We start from the raw sequence: 22,719 nt of genomic DNA, 5'->3' as shown, positions 1-22,719 counted from the left end.
TAATAAAGCTCAAGCAGATTTTTATTTCAGTAGTTATCTCAACACATTTCTAGAGATAGAATCTTCTTGTACAGTATTTATATTTTTATTTTTTAGTATTTGAAACATGTTAGAATCTTTAAACCTAATGATCTAGAATTTGAGTGACAAAATTAATGACCTTGTACTACATGAATTTGGATAAGTGAAAAAAATTGTGTTTGGCTTCTGTTTCAGTCTCTCAGGGCGCTGGCAGGCACACTCAACTCTGTACAGGGTCTGGGAAGTGCTGGGAGTGATGGTGCAGTCCCCCAGGGCCAGTTGCAGTGGGGAGCTGTTCGGGAACCTGAGCCTGATGGGCCAGGGAAGGAAGGAGCCACCAGAGCCCAGAGCAAGTAGCATCCACTGATAGGTGCTGCGGGCTTCAGTAGACACCGTGGTGGCTCAGCGGGGAGACAGCAGGAAAGAGCACCTCCCCAACTTCAGTCTCTCTCACCTCACATCTTCTGCTGGTGATTTCCATTGGCTGAGCCTAACTGGAAGCCAGAAAGGAAGCCGATGATGCAGTTTAAAAGGCCTGAGTAGGTGGAGAAAGGTGAGTGCTGCATTCAGAGGTAAGTGATCCAGATTCACTTAGCACAAGGTCATTAATTTTGTCAATAAAATTCTAAATCATTAAAGATTCTAACATATCTCAAATTACTAAGAAGAAAAATATAAATAACATACAAACAGATTTTCCTGTACAAGGAAGGTAGCCAGCATAGATTCTTTTTTTTTTCAAGAGGGCTAACTACATGCACTTGAGTGTAAATATAATGTGAAAATATGAGCCTGGTGGATTTTTTACCTGTTCTTTGATAAATTATGTTCACATTTGGCCATATACCATCACAGCTCTGCTGACCAGGAACTGAGCTGTTTGAGTCCTCCAGGAAGCAGATGCCAAGAAGAAGGTAAAAGAGCAAGAGATTTATTGTGAGCAACTGCAAATGGCAAAGTGGAAAAAAGCAGGAGTTGACAGGGAGAGCCTTCAGACCATGCTGCGGGGCTAAGACTAGCAGGACAAGATGGGGAGAAGGGAGGATTAAAAAGATGGACTCTTAGAGCACAGCATTGCTCCGAGAAAGCCCCCAGAGACCAACCAGGAGCTCTGCCACAAAGACCGCCCATAGAGTGGTCCCATGTTGGGAGGAGATGGCCCTGCCTTGTTCCAATATTTTGCTCATTGTTTGAGGGCCACCGAAGAAGAGTATCATGGCTCAAAAGCAGTGCCAGACCTAGGGGAGTTTCCTCCTCGAAGCTGGGTAACAGATCTTTTCTTGGAGATCTGAGGTTGCATCTCCATGTCTGCCACAGATACCATGACTTTCACCCCAGAAGGAGCACACCATGAGACAGAGGAAATCCTGAGCAGGCATGAAAGGGAAACTGTCTCATGTCTCTGGAGAAAGGCCCCTGTGGAGGGAAAAGAGTAAGGCAAGTGGAAGCAGGGGTTCAGGGACCTATGACTTGACCTCCTTCATCAGGATGGAAATCTTGAGCAAGGGGAGGTGTTGAGAAAACCAGAAACTGGAAATGCTGATTTGAGAGCACTCAGAGGGTGGCCCTGAGTTTACAAGGGATGCTACAGTTGATTGACAATGGCGTGATGGCCTGATTAGGCTGAAATAAGGCCTCCATCAGCCTCCAGAACTACTTTGGCTGTTGGATGGAGTGGAAGGCCTGCAGGAGGGCCTGCCTGCTCACAGCAAACACGACGGGCAGCTATGGGTGCCAGCTGCTGGGCCTGGTGGGCCACATCAACTGTGGTCAGGGTAAACACCCTGTAGCCAAGGTTAATATCTGAGCCACAGACCAAATTGGCAGTTAAAGCTGGTACTCAGGACATTCCGTTGGGCTAGAGAGGGAGAACCACTCAGCTGGCTTAATGAAAGACACGGGTGTGGGACTTTGTCAGCAGATGCAAGCCTGGAGCCACCACACAGCAGAGAGGAGTAGGAAACCAGAGTATGGAAGCCCCTTCCTCTCCTGCACCAAATCACTCACAGCACCATGATGGGCAGCAGTAGAAGGATTAGAAACCACACCGCCCTGATAGGAGTTGAACTTTTCTTCAACTGGCTCTTAAGCTGACATGAGATTGCGCTAGTTGGAAGATACCAAGATACTCTTAAAAGAGAAGATGAAGTTCTCATGTTTCAACCCCTATTACTATTGACTGTCAACTTCCCAAAAGACCCCAGAAAAACATGTTAATGGAACAAAACTAAGTTTATTAGATTTACTGTAGTATAAGAGAAAACCACCTTGGTAGAGTCTTGATAGTGCCTCAGGTTGACAAAGTCAGGGTCTGCACTGGGGGACTTCTAAGGTAGCTTTTGCAAGGTGGGGAGTAGCTTGGGACTGGGCAGGGTTTCTACCCTAACAATTCTCAATTGGTAAGCCCCGCAAGGCCAAGGATCCTGAAGCAAATCTAGATAAGAAAGATACTGGATTTTATAAGCTAGCTATTTTAGTGGATTTACTGCCTCATTTTTGGTAAGCAAGTCTTCCTGAAGCAAGCAGGTAAGTGATTTTTGCTTGGTTCCAACATTGTTTAATAAGGAACAAAAAAATGACTGGCCCCAGTGTTGTTTTAAGACACTGGGAACTATGCTGATTTCAGTTCTCAAGGGGTGGAGAATTGTGAGAAGAATCATATAAATTTGTTTTAAAAAGTGGCATTTTGGGGGTCTGTCTTAGCACATATTTTTAAAATGTTTCCTTTTAACATAGTTTTAAATTTCAGAAAAATTTCAAAGGTAGTACAGAGAGTTCCCATATATCCCCCACATCCAGTTTCCCCTATCATTAACATCGTAATGTGGTACACTTATCACAATTAATGAACCAGGATTAATACATTATTACTAACTAAAGTTCATATTTCATTCCGATTTTCTTAGTTTTCACCTAATGTCATTTTCCTGTCTCAGTATCCCATCCAGGCTACCACGCATGTTTAGTCCTCAAGTCTCCCTAGGTTCCTCGTGGCTGTGACAGTTTCTGACTTTCCTTGTTTCTGATGACGTTGATAGTTTGAGGAGTGCTGATGGAGAATTTTGTAGAATGTCCCTCACTTGGAATTTGTCTAATGTTTTACTCATAATTATCCTGAGCTGATGGGTTTTTGAAAGGAAGACCACAGAGGTAAAGAGCCATTCTTACACATCATATCAAAGGCACATTCTACAGGTTGACTCTCCCTTATCTGAAATGCTGAAGACCAGAAGTGTTTCAAATTTTGAATTTGCTCAGATATAGAAATATTTGCATATACATAATCTTGGGAGTGAGACCCAAGTCTCAACAGGAAATGTATTTATGTTTCATATACACTATATACCCATAGTTTAAAGGTAATTTTATAAAATTTTAAAATAATTTTGGGCATGAAACAAAGTTTTGACTGTGTTTTGACTTCAATCTGCCACATGAGGTCAGGTGTAGAATTTTCTGCTTGTGGCACCATGTTGGCACTCAAAATGTTTCAGATGTTGGAGCATTTGGATTAGAGAATGTTCAGCTTGTATCAGCATGACTCATGACTATTGGCATTGACCTTGATTACCTGGCTGAGGTGGTGTTTGTCCGGCTTCTCCACTGTAAGTTTCCTTTTCCCCTCTTTTCATACCTTGCTTTTTGGAAGAAAGTCACTACATGCAGTCTAGTCTTCAGGAGCGGGGAGTTATACTTTACCTCCTGGAGGGCAGAATTTGTGCATAAATGATTTGGGAATTTCTGCAGAGACCTTTGTCTCCTACCCCATTTATTCATTTATTTTATTATTTTTATATCAATATGGAATCATGAATATTTATTTTATACTCTGGGTTATAGTCCCATATTGTTTTATTTATTTTGTTGGTCTAATTATTCCAGCTTTGGCCATTGGGAGCTCTTTCCATTGCTTCCTTTGTCCATTTGACATTTCTCCATCATTGTGTCCTTTTTTTTTTTTTTTCCAATCACTTCCTTGCTTCCTGGAACTGCAAGCTGTACCATGTTCATTGTGCATATTTTGTGATGCAGCCTGAGAATCAGCCATGTCTCCAAAAAGCCCTGGTTCCTTTTATTGGAGAATGGTATAGAAATGAAGATCTGGGTGCTAGGTTTACTCATTGCTACTGGGGTGACATTGTTTCTAGCGGCATTTCTTTTTTCCACTTGCGTACTATATTTGTGACCCCTTCATTTGTGAATCTACTTTTATTCTTTCAATAACAATGTCACTTGAGGAGCCATAGAAGTCAGCCACAGAGTGACCTGAAAACTTGGTCTCTCACAATAAAGATATCCCACAGTACAAAAACAATTTAAACTGCAGAAGAGTCTTCCATGCACTGTAGCTCCAAAAAGTTAAAAATGATCTCATGTCCTCACCCAAATCTCATGTCTAATTGTAATCCCCAGTGTTGGAGCTGGGGCCTGGTAGGAGGTGATTTGATCATGGAGGCAGTTTCTCATGGTTTAACAGCATCCTGCTTGGAGCTGTAGTCACGATAATGAGTTCTCAGGAGATCTGGGGTTTTTTTGGTTTGTTTGTTTGTTTGTTTGACAGGGAGTTTTGCTCTTGTTGCCCAGGCTGGAGTGCAGGGGTGCGATCTTGGCCCACTGCAACCTCCACCTCCCAGGTTCAAGCAATTCTCCTGCCTCAGCCTCCTGAGTAGCTGGAATTACAGGTGTCTGCCACCACGCCTGGCTAATTTTTTGTGTTTTCATTAGAGACGGGGTTTCACCATGTTGACCAGGCTGGTCTCGAACCTCTGACCTCAGGTAATCCACCCACCTCAGCCTTCCAAAGTTCTGGGATTACAGGCCTGAGCCACTGTGCCTGGCTGATCTGGTTGTTTAAAAATGTGTAGCACCTCCCCTCTCTCTCTCTTCCTCCTGCTCCACCCAGGTGAAGTGCTGGCTTACCCCTTTCCTTCCGCCATGATTATAAGTTTCCTGAGGCCTCCCCAAATGCCAGCATCATTCTTCCTGTATAGCCTGTGGAACTGTGAGCCAATTAAACCTCTTTTCTTTACAAAGTACCCAGTCTCAGATATTTCTTTGTAGCAGTGCAAGAACGGACCGCTACAGTCTCCATTTGTTATATACCAAAAACAACAGAGAAATTTTCATTTTTTCAATGCAAATTCATAGTTTTGAACAAGGTAAATTAGAAGTCTGGGAGGTGAAGTCCCCATCTTAGTGTGACTGATGACTGCTCACAGTGCTGTGATGAATGGGTCTCTAAACCAAACACATCAATACCTACTGGGCGTGGGAAGGACAACGTTTGTTACCTTCAGCGAGGTTAAACCCTTTTCTCTCAGACTTCGTGTTAAAACAGGCTCCATAGTTACAATTTGATCCCAAGACAAAGAAAGAAAGGTCAATGATTAAAGGCAATTCTTTACCATCAAATTAAGATGTGACAAATTTGTCTCTTCTTCACTGACAATATTTTGCTTCTTCTGCAAAACCAAGATTAAAGAAAAAAAAAACAGAAAAGTAAAAGAAAGACTAAGATTTAAAAAATTTTCCATTTCAGTTCTCTGGTTGCTTCTGTTTGTTCACTTAGATATTCTCCCTAATTGTTTTGAATACAGTAAAATCTCATACCACAAAAACTTTTTTAAAAAAGAAATACAATAATTTTGGTACAGAGAGTTGCGTTTGATTCTAGTGAAGATCTGGGCTTCAGTAAAGGAAGTAAGGCTTAATGAGACAATTTATAAAAAGAAAAACTTCACGTAATTGAAATGTTAAAATATTTTATAATTCTATCGCCTAGCATATATTCACCCTGGGCAGTTCATGGGTCTTTGGGGGTCCATCTTTCCCAAGAGGCTTTCAGAGCAAGATGCCCCAGGTCTTTCTCATATACATTGCCATGGGACCTGTTTCATGAACCATAGCTGAGTGTAGCAGGACTCAGCAATACATCCAATGACACACAACTGGATCCTGCCACTGATCCAGGGACAGCATTGTCTGTGAGCTGCTCGATGAGTTGGCCTCGTGTGAAAACCTGGGTAGGTTGTGGTACACCACACTGGATTGTGATTAATCAGCTAATCGACTCCTCTCTCTGGAGAGGAGATGGGCCCCCCAGAGTGGTGTTAGGATCACCAGAGCTCCTATAATACCCTGAATTGTGGTCAAAAATGTTTCTGGTCTCCATAATTCCTGGCTTTTGGCTGCTGAGATAACTTTTTGTGCTTTCTACCATCCTGGAAAGCACTTATAATAAAAGTTATCTCCTGTGGTTACCCACGCACATCTTGGCTCCTTGAAACTTAAGAATCTAACATAATGGTAACACATTAAATGACCAAGAGTATATATTGTAGGTTTCTTGAGGACAGCTATCAAGTCTTATCTTTGTATCCTAAGTGGGCACATTTAGCAAGTACAGACACTCCCAGACTTATAATGGGGTTACTTTCCAATAAACCCCTTATAAGTTGAAAATGCATTTAATATACCTAATCTAGTGAGTATCATAGCTTAGCCTAGCCTATCTTAAATTTGTTCATAACGCTTACATCAGCCCACAGTTGGGCAAAATCATCTGGCAGCACAGTATACTGTAGAGTCCCAATTTTTTACCCTTGTGATCATGGCTGACTGGGAGCTATGGCTCACTGCTACTGCACAGCTTCATGAGGGAGTATTGTATGGTATATTACTAGCCTGGGAAAAGATCAGAATTCACTGATCTTCTGATCAGTTCAGAATTCACTGAACTAGGGTTTCTACTGAATGTGCATTGCTTTCTCACTGTTAGGTAAAAAATTTTAAGTCAAGCCATAGTAAGTCAAGAATCATCTGTACTCAATAATGAATATGATTAGTGAAAGGGAAAATGAATGAATGAGTGAGCTAACAAGAGCCAGAGAGAGTAAATGACTTACCTGAGGCTACTGATAAAAGAGGTCAACATAATGTCTTGACCCTGTGTTAAACAGTACTGAAACTACTCATTCTTTCCTGTCCGTATGTTAAATAATACCAAGATCAAGCAAAAGTAGCTGAGCTGCATGTTCCAGGGATACCGGTTTCTGAAAAATAAGACCATAAATGAGCTAAACAATTCATTTATTAAGGCAAACTATTTACTCAGAAAGACTGACTTCTTAGCCTGGCCTTGCTGTGTCCAGCTAATTGAAAGCTATAATACCATAAACTCCATGCAGTTCAAACCAGTTGCCTACATGAAAAGAACATCTTAAAAATCACTCAGCCTAGGTCCTAGGGTGTTATTTATACCCTACCTTAATTTTCATTTCCAGCCTAATTTTCATTTCAAGGTGGTGTTCTATCTTACTATGGTGGTTGTTATAGTTTTGCTTGATAGGTAGATTTTTCTGGTGGTCTTCAGGGGAATTGATGGTCAATACAATATAATCAGTTTTCAGTTCCCTTTTTCTTCTTTTTAAAACATGATTTCACATTTCTTTGAATGTGCAAAAATCTAAGCAAGGGAAGTATGGATGTCATTGCTTTCCTACAAGGTCTTGGAGCATGAAACAAATAAACCATTTTCTTTTTTGTTACTTTGCCTAAGGAATAAAATTATTGGACTAGAAGTTATTTCAAAAATATTTCCAATTCTAAAATTTGGGTTTCAGTAAATCTAGGGAAGTGCTCACTAAATTCAATTTTGAATGAACATAATTGTTCTCTACCGTGTTGAAAACAGAAGAAATTCAACATTGTCTTGACTCTGAGGTAGAAAGTGGCTTATGGTACATGGCAAACTGTGTTAAGGCCCTCTGGCCCATTGAACACTGAGTTTAATTTCTCAAATATACACAAAAATGCACAGCTCTGGACTTGCAGTAAAGTGTCTGTCATGAGAGTTGTTTTAGCCCAAATGGCTCTAAAACATGGCTGTCAATTCCAGACGTTTCCAACTGGAAGAGACAACAGCCACCACATGTCACACAATGCACCACACACAATGTAAACATAGCATTCACGTCCACACTCAGATATTTATGGCATTTTCTGTGGTTGCCATGTCAACTCATGGAGCAACCAGGCCATTAAATCATGCTGTCAGCAGGCCAAGACAGTAACGCTACAAAAAAATTCCAGTTGCTGACATGAAACATTACATTTATCATTTCAAGACCTGTTTTTTTCCAGCTGCCTCTTGCTTTATGCTCTTCACTGCTTTCGAGCTGGTCTTTTAGGGTACAAGGAGAATACAAATGAGCTGTTTAAAATGCAATGGAAATCCCAGCCAACTCTTGAGTACTTTTACTTTCGTAGAACTTATTTTTTTAAGGTGACAATCTTGAGGTCACATGCCAAGAGAAGGGATGGACTGAGAACTGACATATTATTGATATAACTGGCCAGTTTTTAACTTTCTAGCCTGGATTCAGTCTTTTCTTTCTCTCCTCTGCATGAAATTGTTCTCAGCAAATTTCTAGATTTCAAGCACATTCACTCTAATTTCTTCTGAACTCTGATGTCTTCTGAAACTCTGATTTCTCCTTAGGAGTTCCCATTAAAAAATTTTTTCAGGGTCATGTAGAAAGAAAGCATGCAGAAATCTCATCAACAGATCTGAGAGGTCGGCTCTACAATCAGTAACAGAGACAAAGAGCAGATTTTTTAGGGCAGTCCTGATTTTTCTTGATTATATTAATTTCAGAAAATGTGAATCACTGAATGTATAGATGTAAATTAAATGTTCTACCATTAGAAGGCTTTTCATATAAATTCATAATCAGAAGAATTTTTTCGTGTCACACTATGCACTAAGAATTTTAGAAAATAAGGACATTGTGACATTTCGGTGTATGTGATGATGCAATTGTCAGACCATGACAACTGTGCATGAATAGAAGGAGGATGCAAAGCCAGCCTGCCTTGTCTCGTGCTGTCTCTCCTCTCCAGTGGCTGTGCTTCCTCCTCTTCCCTTTGGCCACCTCTGAGCACATTAAGCTTGCAGGATTGTGATGGGATTTAAAGGCATTTCAGCTACTCATGTGCACAGCGCTCTTCTCCTCATTCTACCTGGAGAACAACACTAAGAAGGTACAGTCAGTGAGAGCTTTCAGAGGAGAACAAGTCTGGATGAGAATCCTCTCGAACTGGGCATCAGAATAGGTTTCTCCTCCTCACTCATCTCTCTGTGACACACAGCCCTCGAAAGGCATGCCATCCCACAGACATTTTTCCTGGAAAAAGAGACAGAACGTAATCAGGAAATGTGAAAATAAAAGAAGAAACGATGGGTTAGAGAAGATCCAGGCTATTCTCACGGAGCAAATATCTGGGGGCAAAGGTGAGAGAGGCTGGGAGCAAACCCGAGGCCCTCAGACGCCTGCTAGCTCACGGGGAAGCGGAAGGGGCAGAGCCCTACAGAGCCGACTTTGAAACAGGCAAACTGGAGACCAGAGCTGGGACTGTATAATATGAACTGGGTCTTCAAGGATGGGTTAGCAGTGTCTGACACTGTATATGGGGGGAAAAGAAACTTCTAGACTGAAGAAACCCTTCAACATATGCCTAGGGCTGGGGAAATAATGATGCAGTCCCAGAAAGAAAAAGTAGATCCTGTGCTTTCAAAGCGAATTAGGCAAGATACAGGAAAGGACCAAGCCAGGGAGGATGAGGAGTGCCTGGGTGAGAAGACTGCAGCAGGAGAAGTTTCAGTGGAAAGGGATGTGGTCAGATCCGTGCTCTTGGGTGATGTTTGTAAATGAATCTGATGAGAAGGGAGATGAAGCCATGAAATCATTAGAAGTTCATTAGAATAATTGGATGTAGGAGACAGCAAAGATAATAATAATAATAAAAGAGGATTTAAAATTATGATTCAAAGTCTGAATGTATTGGGGTGTGGCAAAAACTCCTCTCCCAGAAATTTAGAGCATAAAAACAATACCTTTAGAATGAATAAATAATAGTATAGTAGCACAAAGTGATAGTATACCGCAATGAAAAAAGAGTGAGCTATAAGCACAAAAATATGGTTGAATCTTGCAAAGATAAAAGTTGAGAAAAAGAAGCCAGTCACAGAAGAGTCAATATGATGTGATTCCAATTATTTAGAGTCCAAAAATGAATCATGCTGCTGGCTAGATGGTTGGGATCTTGGGGAGGGTAAAGTCGTTGGCTGGAAGGGAAATAGCCGGTGGTTTCCAAGGGGCTGGTGGTGTTCGTCTCGATTTGGGTGCTGGTTACAGGATGTGCTTGGCTTGTGAAAAATCACTGGGTGGTACATTTATGATATGTTCACTTTTCTTTCTGCCTGTTAAACTTGGATAGAAGTTTTTACAAAATGGCACATCTTGCTTTGGAGATCTTAGTTTAAGGAGGCGGATTGACTGACAGGTGATCTTTAAATGTCCAGCCCTTGAATCTAAGTACAAACGGGGGTAAACAAGGCCATGTTTCTTGGATTCCAGGAAATTAGGAACTATGATTCAGCAAATTAGAGCATTGCATCATGTAGTGAAACCCAACATCTCCTGGCCGTAGTCCTCCCACCTCTCAGCCAGACTTGGACGCTAGCTTAGCAGCCACAGGCCTGGAAACGGTCACCACAACCAACTCATTGTCTCATTAATTTCAAGGATGTAGAAGAATAAAAAGTGATAAGGGCAAGGGTGGGAGGCTCTCTGTTAGCAGCTTCAGAATAAAACCAGTGGAGCTCAGTTCCTGCCAAGAACTCGGGAGAAATCCATCATTCCTCTTGCTGGCCTGTGGTGAGCACCACTGTGGTGATAAGCAGAGAAGCCTGTAATGATTAACCGAACATGTACATACAATGGTCACCCCCACACACAGACTTCTTATCATCCAGGAGCCCAGCACTTTAATACTGAGTCATACCAATGTTCGGAGAAGGAAGTTTGCCGCCACTAACACACTTCAAAATTTGGATTCAGAGTTAATTCCTGTAGTTCAGTATAACCCTTCCCAACTGCTTCCTACCTAGAGGAAAAAGAAGTAATTGAATTAAAAAAAAAGTCCCAAATTATTCCCTGGGTGGATTCCTAAGAAGCATTTCATAATGAGAAGTTTCCATAAATGCATTTAATAGATTCTTTGCAGACTATTAACCCCTTGAAAAGGAAGAAGGAACAAAGAATGAAGGTAGTGTTAGAATAAGGCAAGTACCCAGAAAAATAATGTGATCTACATTCAGAAAAATCTCCTTACATTATCCACATTACTTCAATAGTACATATAAGATTCCTATAAAATTGTGGCTTATAAGCAATACTTTCAACTTCCCGTCAGAGCTGGTTTAAGCAGCAACATAGTTTTTAAAAATATTTTTTGGAAACTCTGATACAGAATGCATTACATTTTTTATATAGAATTCAGTATTATTCAGAGCTATTTTCCTGATATGAACAAACTTGAGATCTCTCCCCCTTCCTCCCTACTTTACATTTCCGTCGTTCATTCCTTCAGCAAATGTCGCTGAGCACCTTCTGTGTGCCAGGCCCTGTTTAGATTATTGGGGACATAGAGGGCAGTAAGTTAGGCCTCATCCAAGCCCACTGGACCTGACATTCTTGTTGCTGTGGCCTGGTGCAGTCTCATTCCCTCTGGTGCTGACTTTTGTAAATTCCTCCCAACTTTCCCCACCTCTAGTCTGTCAGCTTCCATCCCTTCCACAACTCTGGTTATTAGAGTACTATCCTTAAAGATCAAATCTGACCATTTCACACCATCCTTCTTGCTTCCTTTCTGTCTTCCATTCCATATAACAAAACAATACAAACATGCAAATTATTCCCCACCAAACAAAAGCAAAAGGAAACGAAACCTTTAATGGGATAAAAGGAAAGTTCATAGGATAAGAAAGGAATTCAGAGTCCTTTGAAATCACATTCCAGATCTTTTTCCCAAGGTCCTGCATGTCTTTCTTGGTGTCTTCTGTAGGCCCTTTGATGCCTCTCTATGTCAAAACGGTTTCCCTATTTTGCCTTTATTTAAGTGTGTCTTTTGCCAGGAATGTCCTCTCCCTCCATTTCTGTCTATACAAAGTTCCCCATGTTTTACAAGCCAAATTCAAATGCTTCCTCCTTCATGAGACCTGTAGATACTGGTATCCTGTTGGTACCTCTTGCCAAATCCATGTTCATGTTGATAGTTTGAATTCATCTGTGATGAGAGTATCCAAGCCGTGAAAACTGGCAAATGCTGAAAATCAGAGCTTGATTTATTGTTTCGTTGTTTGTCTAGACTTAAGAAAGTGGTGGAGAAAATGTTAATATAGCAGGTTAAACTTAAAAATGTGCTGCGTTTATAGCCATTATATTATGAAAACACATAAAGCATACTTCAGGAAATATTTTTTGAGTATTTGAAAACTGTTCTCCAATTCAACAAAGAAGCCATTCATTCCACTGATGAACAACTAAAGTCCCAATATATGTCCTCATTGTTTCACTTTCATTTTACTACTTAACATCAACAAAAACATCAACTAACATTCATGTTGGAGTTGCATTTGCTCATCATTGAGGTGAGGGGCTTCTTTGCAGAATCTGAGAGTGATCAAGAATTGATTTGTAGGCTGAGCATGATGGGTCACACCTGTAATCCCGGCACTTTGGGAGGCCAAGGCAGGCGCATCACTTGAGGTCAGGAATTCGAGACCAGCCTGGCCAACATAGTAAAACCCCGTCTCTACTAAAAATACAAAAATCAGCCGGGTGTGGTGGTGCCCACCCGTAGTCTCAGCTACTGGGGAGGCTGAGGTGAGAGGATCACTTGAGGTTGCAGTGAGGTGGAGGCGGAGGTTGCAGTGAGCTGAGATTGCACCACTGCAATCCAGCCTGGGCAACAGAGCGAGACTCCATCTCAAAAAAAAAAAAAAAAAAAAAAGAATTGATTTGTAGTTGGCTATGAGGGCAAAAGTTCAGCAAAATCAACAAAAGAATTCTGTTAAAATCAATTAGCTATATGGAATTTATAATTAATAATATTTTAAAAAAATATTTAATTGACAAAAATGTATATTCAAAGTATACTATGAGATGACGTGATATACATATACATTGCATAATGATTACCACAGTCAAATTAACTAGCACGTCCACTACTACTCGTTACTATTTGTGTGTGTGTGTGTGTATGTGTGTTAATCCTTAAAATCTGCTCTCGTAAAATTCCAAGTTATCAATACATTCTCCAATTATGCATTAGATCTATAGAACTTCTTCATCTTATGACTGAAACCTTGTGCCCTTTGACCAAAGTCTCCCTATGTCTCTCACTTCCCAGCCTTTAATCACCACTACTCTGTTTCTATGAGTCAGACTTTTTTAGATGCCATGTATTAGTGAGATTATGCTGTATTTGCCTTTCTGTGTCTGGCTTATTTCACTAGGCATAATGTCCTCCAGGTTCATCCATTTTGTCACAAATGGCAAGAATTCTGTCTTTTTAAGGGCTAAATAGTATTCCATTGTATTCTACATTTTCTTTATTCATTGATCTCTTGTCAGTGGACACTTAGATTGTTTCCATGTCTTGCTTATTGTGAATGATGCTGGAATAAACATGAGGGTGCAGATAATTCTTCAAGATTCTGATTTTGTTTCCCTTGGATATATTACCCAAAAAGGAATTGCTGGATCATATGATAATTCTAGTTTTAAATTTTTGAGGAATCTCCATACAGTTTTTCATACTGCAGCACCAGTCTGCATTCCAACCAACCACAAAGGCTCTCTTTTCTTCACACTCTCGCCAACACTTGTTATTTCTTGTCTTTTTGATAATAGCCATCCTGAGGTGTGAAGTGATAACTCATTATGGTTTTGATTGTCACTTCCCTGATGATTAATGATGTTGCTCACCTTTTCATGCACTTGGCCATTTATATGTCTTCTTTGGAAAAATACCTACTCATTTTTAATTGAGTTATTTGGTTATTTTGCTATTGAGTTGTGTAAGTTCCTTATATATTTTGGATATTAATACCTTATCAGATTTATGGTTTGCAAATATTTCCTCCCATTTCATAGGCTGCCTTTTGTTTTGTTGATTGTTTCTTTTGCTGTGTAGAAGCTTTTTAGTTTGATGTCGTCCTGCTCGCTTATTTTTGCTTTTGTAGCTTGTGCTTTTGGTGTCATATTAAAAAAAAAAAACATTGCTAAGACCAATGTCAAGGAACTTTTCTCCCATATTTTCTTCTAGATATCTGTAACAAACACGCACACACACACTTTTTGCCAGAGAGCCATTTGTTAGACATTTACCAGAATATAGTAGTCCCTCCTTATTCATGATTTTACTTTCTGCCATTTCCATTACCTGTGGTCAACCACAGTCTGAAAATATTAAATGGAAAATTCTAGAAATAAACACTTCATAAATGCTAACTTGTGCGCCATTCTGAGTAGCATGATGAAATTCCTCACTGCCCCACTTTGTCTTGCACAGGACATAAATCATCCCTTTGTCCAGCATCTCCACACTGTAGACACCACCATCCATCAGTCACTTACTAGTCGGCTTAGTTATTTAGTGTACATAGGGTGTGGTACTATCTACAGTAGCAGGCAACCAGTGGGGTCTTGGAATGTATTCCTCAAGCATAAGAGGGCACTACCGTACCACTATCAGGCTGAGGCAAGTATCCTCTGGGATTGCTTAGCACAGGAGGAAGAGGGAGGACTGCCCAGCTTACCTGCTCACCTGCCCCTCATGTGGCTCCTTGGAGGCCCCCTGCACTACCATGTACATGTGATGCCCCAGCAGCTCCTCCCTGCTGCAGTCTCCTCCTGTGGTTATTGTGGCTGAGCCTTCCCTCAGACCTTGTTCCTCCATCCCTGTAATCCTAGATGTGTTTTCATTCCAAGCAAGTCCTCACATATTTGTCCTGCGTTGGTTAAGCTCTCTAAGCCTTAGTTTCTCCATCTGTAAAGTGGGAACAATATTAGTATCTACCTCAGAGCATTGTTGTAAGTAAAAAGAGGGTAATGAATGAGAAAATCGTGGCCCACCGCCCTGGCACACAGTAGGAATAATGCCAATAAACATCACAATAGCAAATGTGGCAAATATCTGCTGAGTGCTTGTGAGACTTCCTTTGGAATCTCTATTTATTTACTTTTCATGGCAATCCAGTGAGATGGATTCCATGTCACTCCCATTTTACAGATGAAGAAACTGAGGCACACAAAAATTAAGATATGTGTCCAGAGCCCCACAATAGGGGATGTTCGGTAAGCTACTATTGAAGAGTTAGACAACATCAAAACATGGTTTTCAGATATACTCCCCTTCTCTCTTCTCTTTCTTTTTCTCCACCCATTTTTCTTTATTCTTACATTCTCTCTTATTCCACTGCATTTCTGATTGCTCATTTCCACTTTAGCCACTTGAAAGGAAAAGGGAGAAAACGTCAAAGAAGGTTCTTTGTTTTTCTGTGAGTGCTTCACTTTCTTTGATGCTTCCTTTGGGGTTTTATTGACTTTTTAAAAAATTGTTTTGATGTAACTTCAAACTTGTAGAAGAGTTGCAATATCTGTGCAAAGAAGGAGAAAATATACCTCATTCAGATGACACATTTATTTCCATTTTCTCTCATGTGCTTTATCTTTCTTTAGAACTCTTTGTCTTCTCTCCACCTATTGTTCGCCAAACATCAAATTGATGCTGTCAGCTGTCCTGGCTTTACAGACTGCTGTACCAACAACTTGTTTCTCCAATTCCTCTCCTCTATATTCTCATATATGATCAAAGTTTTAGTTTCCTTTTCTAATTACAATTTTCTTCCTGTCTGTTCACAGCAGAGTCCTTTCAGCCACAAGTCTTAATAGTTTGTGTGAGTGTTAATCTGCTTCTCATAGAGTCACCATGAAACACACCTTAGACAGGTATGTGCTATGCTGTCCAAAACCCTTGGGTCTGAAAGTGTTCAGAATCCAGCAACTTAAAGATTTTTAAAGATAAGATGAACAATATTCCATGTGTTTAATAAAATACCCAGTGGGGTCTAGGGGAGCAATCTCATAATTAAACACAAATATTTCTGCAGCAAATGCATGCAGAATAAAAGATTTTACATATTCTCAGTACAGTTCATGTCATGTTAAAATTTCAGTATTCAGAGCTTCTTGCTTTTTGGAATTGCACACAAAGGGTGCTGTAATTTTTTATATGGTAGGGGATAGGTTCAGATAAATACTTTAGTGACTGATCAACTATATAGCATCTAAATTGCATAAAAATTTAGTAAGTAGATCAATTTTATTTTAATTGACATATTAAAATGATTATAATTTCAATAGAACATAAAAAACAGGATATTGACAGCTAAATATCCCTACATACACCAGAGTAGGATTAAAGTCTTAAAGATAAAAAGCAAAGACTAATGCTTTGTTTTACAACAAGAAGGTCTTCTTTGAAGTCATAGGGAAACAAGGTCTCAGCTGTAGCAAATTGCGTGGCCTTCCAAGAGAGCAGGACACATTGTAACCATGGGGACTCCAGACCGTTAATAACATTCTATATTAAAGAACAGATAGTCTGTAGTCCCAGCACTTTGGAAGGCCAAGGCTGGCAGATCACCTGAGCTCAGGAGTTCGAGACCAGCCTGGCCAACATGATGAAACCCTGTCTCTACTAAAATACAAAAATTAGCCAGGTGTGGTGATGGGCACCTGTAATCCCAGGTACTCAGGAGGCTGAGGCAGGAGAATCGCTTGAACCCAGGAGGCAGAGTTTGCAGTGAGCCAAGATCGTGTTACTGCCCTCCAGCCTGGGTAACAGAGGGAGACTGTCTCAAACAAAACAAAACAAAACAAAACGAAACAAAGAATAGGCAGGCCTATGTACCAGATCACAGTCCATACAACACATTAGTTCACATAAGTGCAACTAATACATTCTATTCTATAATAGCACAGCTTGTTATCACATAAAATTACCAGCTTCCTCATAGTATTGTATGCTTCTTATGTTGACTAAATAGATAGAATGAATATTCCCCCATGTGGCAACCTCTATTGAGTCTTCTTTTCTCTGAAACTTTTAAAAAATACATACTTTCTACCAAATTCCACCTAGCATGAGATTGGACACTACCTCAAACTTTTCTCAAATGACTTCATGAGTAATATTCATTTGGTACCTGTAGTAGGATTTATGTATTCTAAGCTAAGAGTTGATACTAAACAAATATTTGAGATTGGTTGCAATAAATCTAAAGAAAAAAACAGCAAATTTCAGTTGGGATGCAACTTGAAATTATCCCAAATATATAAAAGTTTTTGTGATGAATTTATTGTTACATATAATATATTCTCAATATTCACTTACTGAGGTTGATTAACTTTATGCCGTTTTAAGCATTGGGAAACAAACTTAAACAAATTGCCACAGTCAAAAGTCAAATCAGAGTACCAGTGATGTTATGTTTTAAAGCCTTCAGTGTAAGTAATGAATTGCCCAATACATCATGGATGATTTTAAGATATTCCTTGTTTGAGTAAGAGACCAGAAATCACGTTTGCCAAAAGAACACTCTTTTCCCAAGAATGCAGCAAGGCTCCCCATCCCCAGGAACAAACATCACTTTTTTCTTGATGTTGCCCTTAAAATATGAGGCTGAAGTTCAGAGTTAAGCACATCCTGGAATTAGGAACTCTCACCAGCACCAGGTGCAGGGAAGTAGGCAACTTTGCCACTGGCTTATTTTTTTAAGGAGACTGTGCCTGTACTCTCTGAGCAAAGTGGCAATATCTGCAGCTGCCTGCCTGCCACCAGACAGCCAGTCCGATGTGAATTATTTAACAGAAGGTATTGCAACCTCCACTCACAACAGAGGAGGCTTCAAGATTTGTGGGTGACACCCTGACAGGCTGCAGGATCAAAGCCAGGATTTTAGAGAAGAGGTGCAGTTGAGCAGTGCCCGCTGGCCAAGGAGCCGTCATGACCTAGGGGCAGAGGAAGAATGCCAATCCATGCTGCGAGGGTGGCACATTCCAAGGACTAAACCAGAAGAAGTAAGGCCAAGTGCTGGCAAGAGGGAGCCACAAACCAGAATGATTACGTTTTTAAAGCACTGCTTCCTGGTTCAGACATAAAATTATATTTAAATGTCCTGCCTCTTTGCAATCAAAAGAAGCTAACTGAAAGAAACACGCACTTCAAGGCTGTAAATCTGAAACTTCCTAATCCCCGAAAGTCCACACTAGACTTCTTGCCTCCATGGAAACAACAAAGCATTCAGCCAACTGATTGGCCTCCAATGAATTTTAGATAAGACAGCTTGGAAGGGAATGGATGTGATTTTAATGCAGAAGAAAGCGCTGGAAGGGAGGTCCACTTGGTTCATATTTGAATAAAGCAAACAAGGCAGACGAAAGGCTGACAGCTGTAAATGACATTGTCAGTACAAAAATTATCAGCCAGTTTACAATCTGTTTGCTTATGTTGAACAAACAGACTGTGTGTGGCATCCTTCGGCCTGGTGAATGGCAGAAATACTTGCGGGCTTCAGAAAAGCTATCTGCTCTCCTGCAGCCCGGCCACAATTAGATCGCCATTTGACAGCCACACTGAAAAGGAAACTGTGTTCTCTGCCTTCCCCCACACTCCCTTGCCTCTTTGCTTTCTCTTTTCCTTTCTTTCTTTTTCTTGGTCTTCTTCTTCATAAGACAAGCACTGAAGTTGGGTAGAGACACTCGTCCTGTTGTATCAATGGCGTGAATTACGTTAGTTCTGTTTCTGGATCAAGTCGTTTACTGATGTGTCTGACATTCCAAGTGGGAGATCTTCAGTAACCTAGCAAGGCTCAGCGCCAACAGTCTTCATTTTTTATTCCTTACAGGAAGCAGAATCCAGGAGCTCCTGAAAGAATGCCACTTTTTTCTTCTTTGTGCAGCCTGTCTCGCAGACCGTTTGCTTTGAACTTGCTAGCATTGCATTTGGTGCCGAAACAAAACACAAGCAGGGCTGTGGAGCTCTATTTCCCCTGAGCAAGACCCCGATAGCACAACTTTCAGGAGGGAATAAAACCTAGTGGGCGCTACCGCTCCCGGGGAGCTATGCTGAGTGTTTAACCCAGCCCCCAACCTGAAAGGAATGAGTTGTGTGGTCCCATTGCTTAATCCCCTCTGTGTTCTGCAAACTCAGAACACAGAAATAGCTCCTTTTGTTCAAAAAGAATGGAAAGCAAACACAGGTACTAATTTTATCCCTCACGTTCTCAGAGGCTGCCTCTTGTTTAACTGCATCAGAGAGATTTAAGCTGCTGGGAGTGGCTTTTTTCACCGGGCCCGAGGCTGTTTGGGCACTGGGAGCTTTTTACCTAACAGATTCCAGCTCACCTTGGAGTAAGCGAGTGACACACCTCCTTGCCCTGGGCGACAAGTCACCTCTGTAGAGCGCACACACTGGAAAACAGAATAACCTCATAGGAAGACAACAGTCTACAAAATCTAGAGTTCTGATTTTCATCTTCTACCTTGTGTATTGTCATTATTTATTGTGTCTTATTCTTGCTAGAGTTAGCAAATGTATTCATTTGAGGAGAGGATCAAGTCTTTCTGTTACGCCTTCCTTTCTTTTCTCCTTCTTTAATATAAAGAATCTATTTAGAGGTACTTGGTTTATTTGACCGGAAAAAAAATGATGATAGGTGAGTATGGTGTGTTCGTCACAGATAAAGGGTACATCACAGGCACACACAAAGCCGGAAGCCCGTGGTAATTACTGGTAAGCAGCGAAGCATCAAAACACCTCTTGTATGAAAGTTCATCCAATTACCACTAACCTAGAGAGGAGAGTTATGTTGCACTGTGCTTTTCATTTTAATCTAAATGGCTGTTTCTTTTTCTCTGATATGGCCATCGGTCATAAAGAGTTGACCATCATCAAAACTGTTTGATTTGGAAGTCTGTAGTGTTTGGCTAAGAGGGCAAATGCAAATTTGATGAAAGAATAAGGATAAATTTACATATCAGCCTCAGCTCACATGGAGAGAGTAAACATTCTGTTTATCTCAAGTGTCACTTTATGATTTCAGGAGAATATAAAACTGACCTTGGCCCAGTCATTGCAAAAGGCCTAAATGAAATATACGGTTGTCTAAATACAATTTACTCAAGTAGAACTTGTCAGCAAACCCTGCGGAACTCAGCAAACAGGACTGGAGAGCGCAGCGAAAGAATTTTGTTCTGATAAACTCCAAAATGAAATTCTGGAGCAAGGAGTAGGTGAATAAGAAAGGTTAAGAAAAAAAATCCTACCTCATGAATTTTATGGTAATTAGCGTGAATTAAAACATCCTATTTAGCTGTAGTTTTAGGCTTTAGTTATCTAAAAATTAGAAAATAAAAACAAACAGAAAATTTTAAACGCCAATGTTAAAACTGTAATGTATAGTATTCTTTTACCAAACCTTTGTTTTATCATTTGGGGACAAGAGTAAGATCATCATTTGTTTGGTTTCTAGAAACTAATTGATTCCAAGAACTTTAACACTCCATAGGTAGTTTACACTGCAAGAGGATAATTCCTTTTGGCTGTTTAAATCAACCACGTTTGCATTTTCCACAACATTTTTAATTAGTTTTTTCTCAGGCTAAGTCAGCATTCATCACTGGGTGAACGAACATCAGACTTTGTTCATAATGGAGGCTTTTGAGTGTGCAGAAAAATATTCCAAGACAATTGCAGGCATCTGAACTCATATTTCACCCCCACTTTCTTGTACCCAAAAGTTCAATGTGGAAAATGAAAGCATAAAATGAGATTCTTTTATGGAGAAAAGTTGATGGCATAAATAGAGTAAGGGGGTGAGGGAGTATATACATATTTTTAATTTGAGCTATTCTAGAAACTTTGCCCACAGTAGAGCAAATAATAATAATAATAATATTCTGAATGAAATAAAAGGTGAAGAAAATTTGGCAGAAATGAATAGTTTTAATTACAAAAATAAAGAATATTCTTGTAGGACCTGTTTATGCATTTACCTTTATAGCCCACAAAATATTTTTTAAGTAAATAATTATCTATTTATATTCACATAGAATAATACAAAGCTTTAACGAAGACCGCAGAAGAACTTCATATCTGAGTACCATTTGCAATCGATTTACAAATAATGCCAGCATCCTTAGCGACTTCTTCAGGCAAGGTTATACTGGGGGTTTTTGAGGCTAAGCAGGTAAGAGTGCTAACATAAATGAGAAGAAAGTACCTCATTGTTACCAAAACTGTAGCCAGGCTTTCCACGTGGGGTTTGAAAAGAGATTGACATGTTGCCCTCACTGGAAGGAGAGTAAAATCAAGTTTGTGTGGGGTGGGAGGAGAGGTTGTATGTATCTGAGGAAGTCAGGCTGTTGAAATGCTTTTCCTCAGTGTCCTGTGTTCACATACAGGTGAACTGGGAGTACCGCACACAGCATGGCTTCCAGCCTGAAGTGACTGTAAAATGCCAGTGAATAGAGAGGCTCAAGGCTGAGTAAAGGATCCTGCACACTCAACAGGCTCATCCTTCTCTGCACCCGAGTTGTTCATAGAGTCCCAGTTACAGAGCTTTCAGAAGGCGGAATTCGTCCACAGCACACTATTGATGCCTATCGAATCTAAGGAAATTAACTAAGAAGGGAAGAAATAATCTTCATAGAAAAGGGATTTGAGAACCCAGAAGAGGGTATGGGCCTGGCAGTGTGCATGCTGCAAACTATGCACCATCACTGGCCTAAAACGCACCTCTGTGTGCATCATTTACTCACGTTTAAAAATCACCCTCTACTTGTTCTCCTGTGACCCTCATTGGACTATATCCAGACAGCACTGAAAGTGATAGCCAGAAAAAGTAGAAACAACCCATGTGTTCATCCACTGACGAATGGATCAAAACATGTGGCGTGTCCATCCATACAAGGGGATATTACCCAGCAGTCAAAAGGAGCAAAGAACTGATGTATACCACACCATGGCTGATTCTCAACAGTATGTTCAGTGAAAGAAACCAGTCACAAAAGCACATGTACTGTATGTCTATTTATATGAACTGCTTGGAGGAGGCACCTAGTGGTTGCCAGGGGCTTGGGGTGGGGGTGGAGGGCAGGAATGGGGAATGCCTGCCCCCTCCATGGGGTTTCTTTGTGGGGTGATTAAAATGTTCTAAAATTGGTATGGTGATGGTTGCATGAGTCTGTGAATACACTAAAACCACTGAGTGGTACACTTTAAACAGGTAAATGTTATGGTATATGAATCAAATCTCAATGAAGCTGTTAGAGAAAAAAAACAAAAGGAAGCAAAACCTGACATCTAGAGTGTTATGGAGCCAAAATGAGCTTTCAAAAAGAATTGCATAGGCCCCTGAGGAACCATGGAAAGCAACATGAACGTGAACTCCAAGCAGGCCATGGGCCATCTCCAACCGATTCCACCCAGGTGAAGGGAGCAGGTGTCAGGATCAAATCCTGACTTAAAATTGGTAAATATTTGTTGGTTATCTATGCTGTACTAGGCATCGTGGCCCACAAGGGAGAACAAAATTTCTTGTGGAGCTCACAGTCTAGGAGAGAGGCGAATATATGCAATTAGCCAGACCACAAGTGGCACAACCATGCATGTCATTAACAGTGGGCTTGGAAGTGCAAGGGGCATCCACTTACCTCTGGGAATCCCTGCTGCAGAGCAGGGAAATCAGACAACAAGTTTTCTAAGTTTAGATTTTATTCTGTAGGT

General features: G+C 40.5%; 1 long non-coding RNA gene across 2 annotated transcripts, besides 4 other annotated features; it reads left to right on the top strand.

The window, feature by feature from the left end:
* The first annotated feature begins 1,863 nt into the window (after positions 1-1,863).
* Positions 1,864-22,174, top strand: LOC284788 (uncharacterized). 2 transcript variants are annotated; one of them, NR_027089.2, is made up of 4 exons: positions 1,864-2,547; positions 15,795-15,878; positions 21,045-21,181; positions 21,396-22,156. It is a non-coding gene; the product is annotated as an uncharacterized LOC284788 (long non-coding RNA). The 2 variants fall into 2 exon arrangements; NR_027090.1 differs by lacking the exon at positions 15,795-15,878 and having other exon boundaries at positions 21,396-22,174.
* Positions 9,766-10,965: an enhancer, noted in NCBI's record as "MED14-independent group 3 enhancer chr20:22392180-22393379 (GRCh37/hg19 assembly coordinates)". NCBI's record gives its function as "activates an origin of replication core promoter dependent on BRD2, BRD4, P300/CBP and CDK7 cofactors, and independent of MED14, by STARR-seq in HCT116 cells {active_cell/tissue: HCT116}" and the evidence as "EXISTENCE:reporter gene assay evidence [ECO:0000049][PMID:35650434]".
* Positions 16,302-16,596: a silencer, noted in NCBI's record as "tiled region #10803; K562 Repressive non-DNase unmatched - State 23:Low". NCBI's record gives its function as "represses a minimal TATA promoter and a strong SV40 promoter by Sharpr-MPRA in K562 cells {active_cell/tissue: K562}" and the evidence as "EXISTENCE:reporter gene assay evidence [ECO:0000049][PMID:27701403]".
* Positions 17,345-20,632: an enhancer, noted in NCBI's record as "VISTA enhancer hs2547". NCBI's record gives its function as "enhancer in: hindbrain (rhombencephalon)[6/7] | midbrain (mesencephalon)[7/7]" and the evidence as "EXISTENCE:transgenic organism evidence [ECO:0001131][PMID:17130149]".
* Positions 18,606-18,715: an enhancer, noted in NCBI's record as "active region_17626". NCBI's record gives its function as "activates an Ori minimal core promoter by ATAC-STARR-seq in GM12878 lymphoblastoid cells {active_cell/tissue: GM12878}" and the evidence as "EXISTENCE:reporter gene assay evidence [ECO:0000049][PMID:35858748]".
* Positions 22,175-22,719: the final 545 nt, after the last annotated feature.

This window comes from Homo sapiens, chromosome 20, assembly GCF_000001405.40.
Source record: "Homo sapiens chromosome 20, GRCh38.p14 Primary Assembly".
In the NCBI taxonomy this organism is placed as follows: Eukaryota; Metazoa; Chordata; class Mammalia; order Primates; family Hominidae; genus Homo; species Homo sapiens.
The sequence above is the reverse complement of the archived record's forward strand: the minus strand, read 5'-3'. Positions and strand labels throughout refer to the sequence as shown.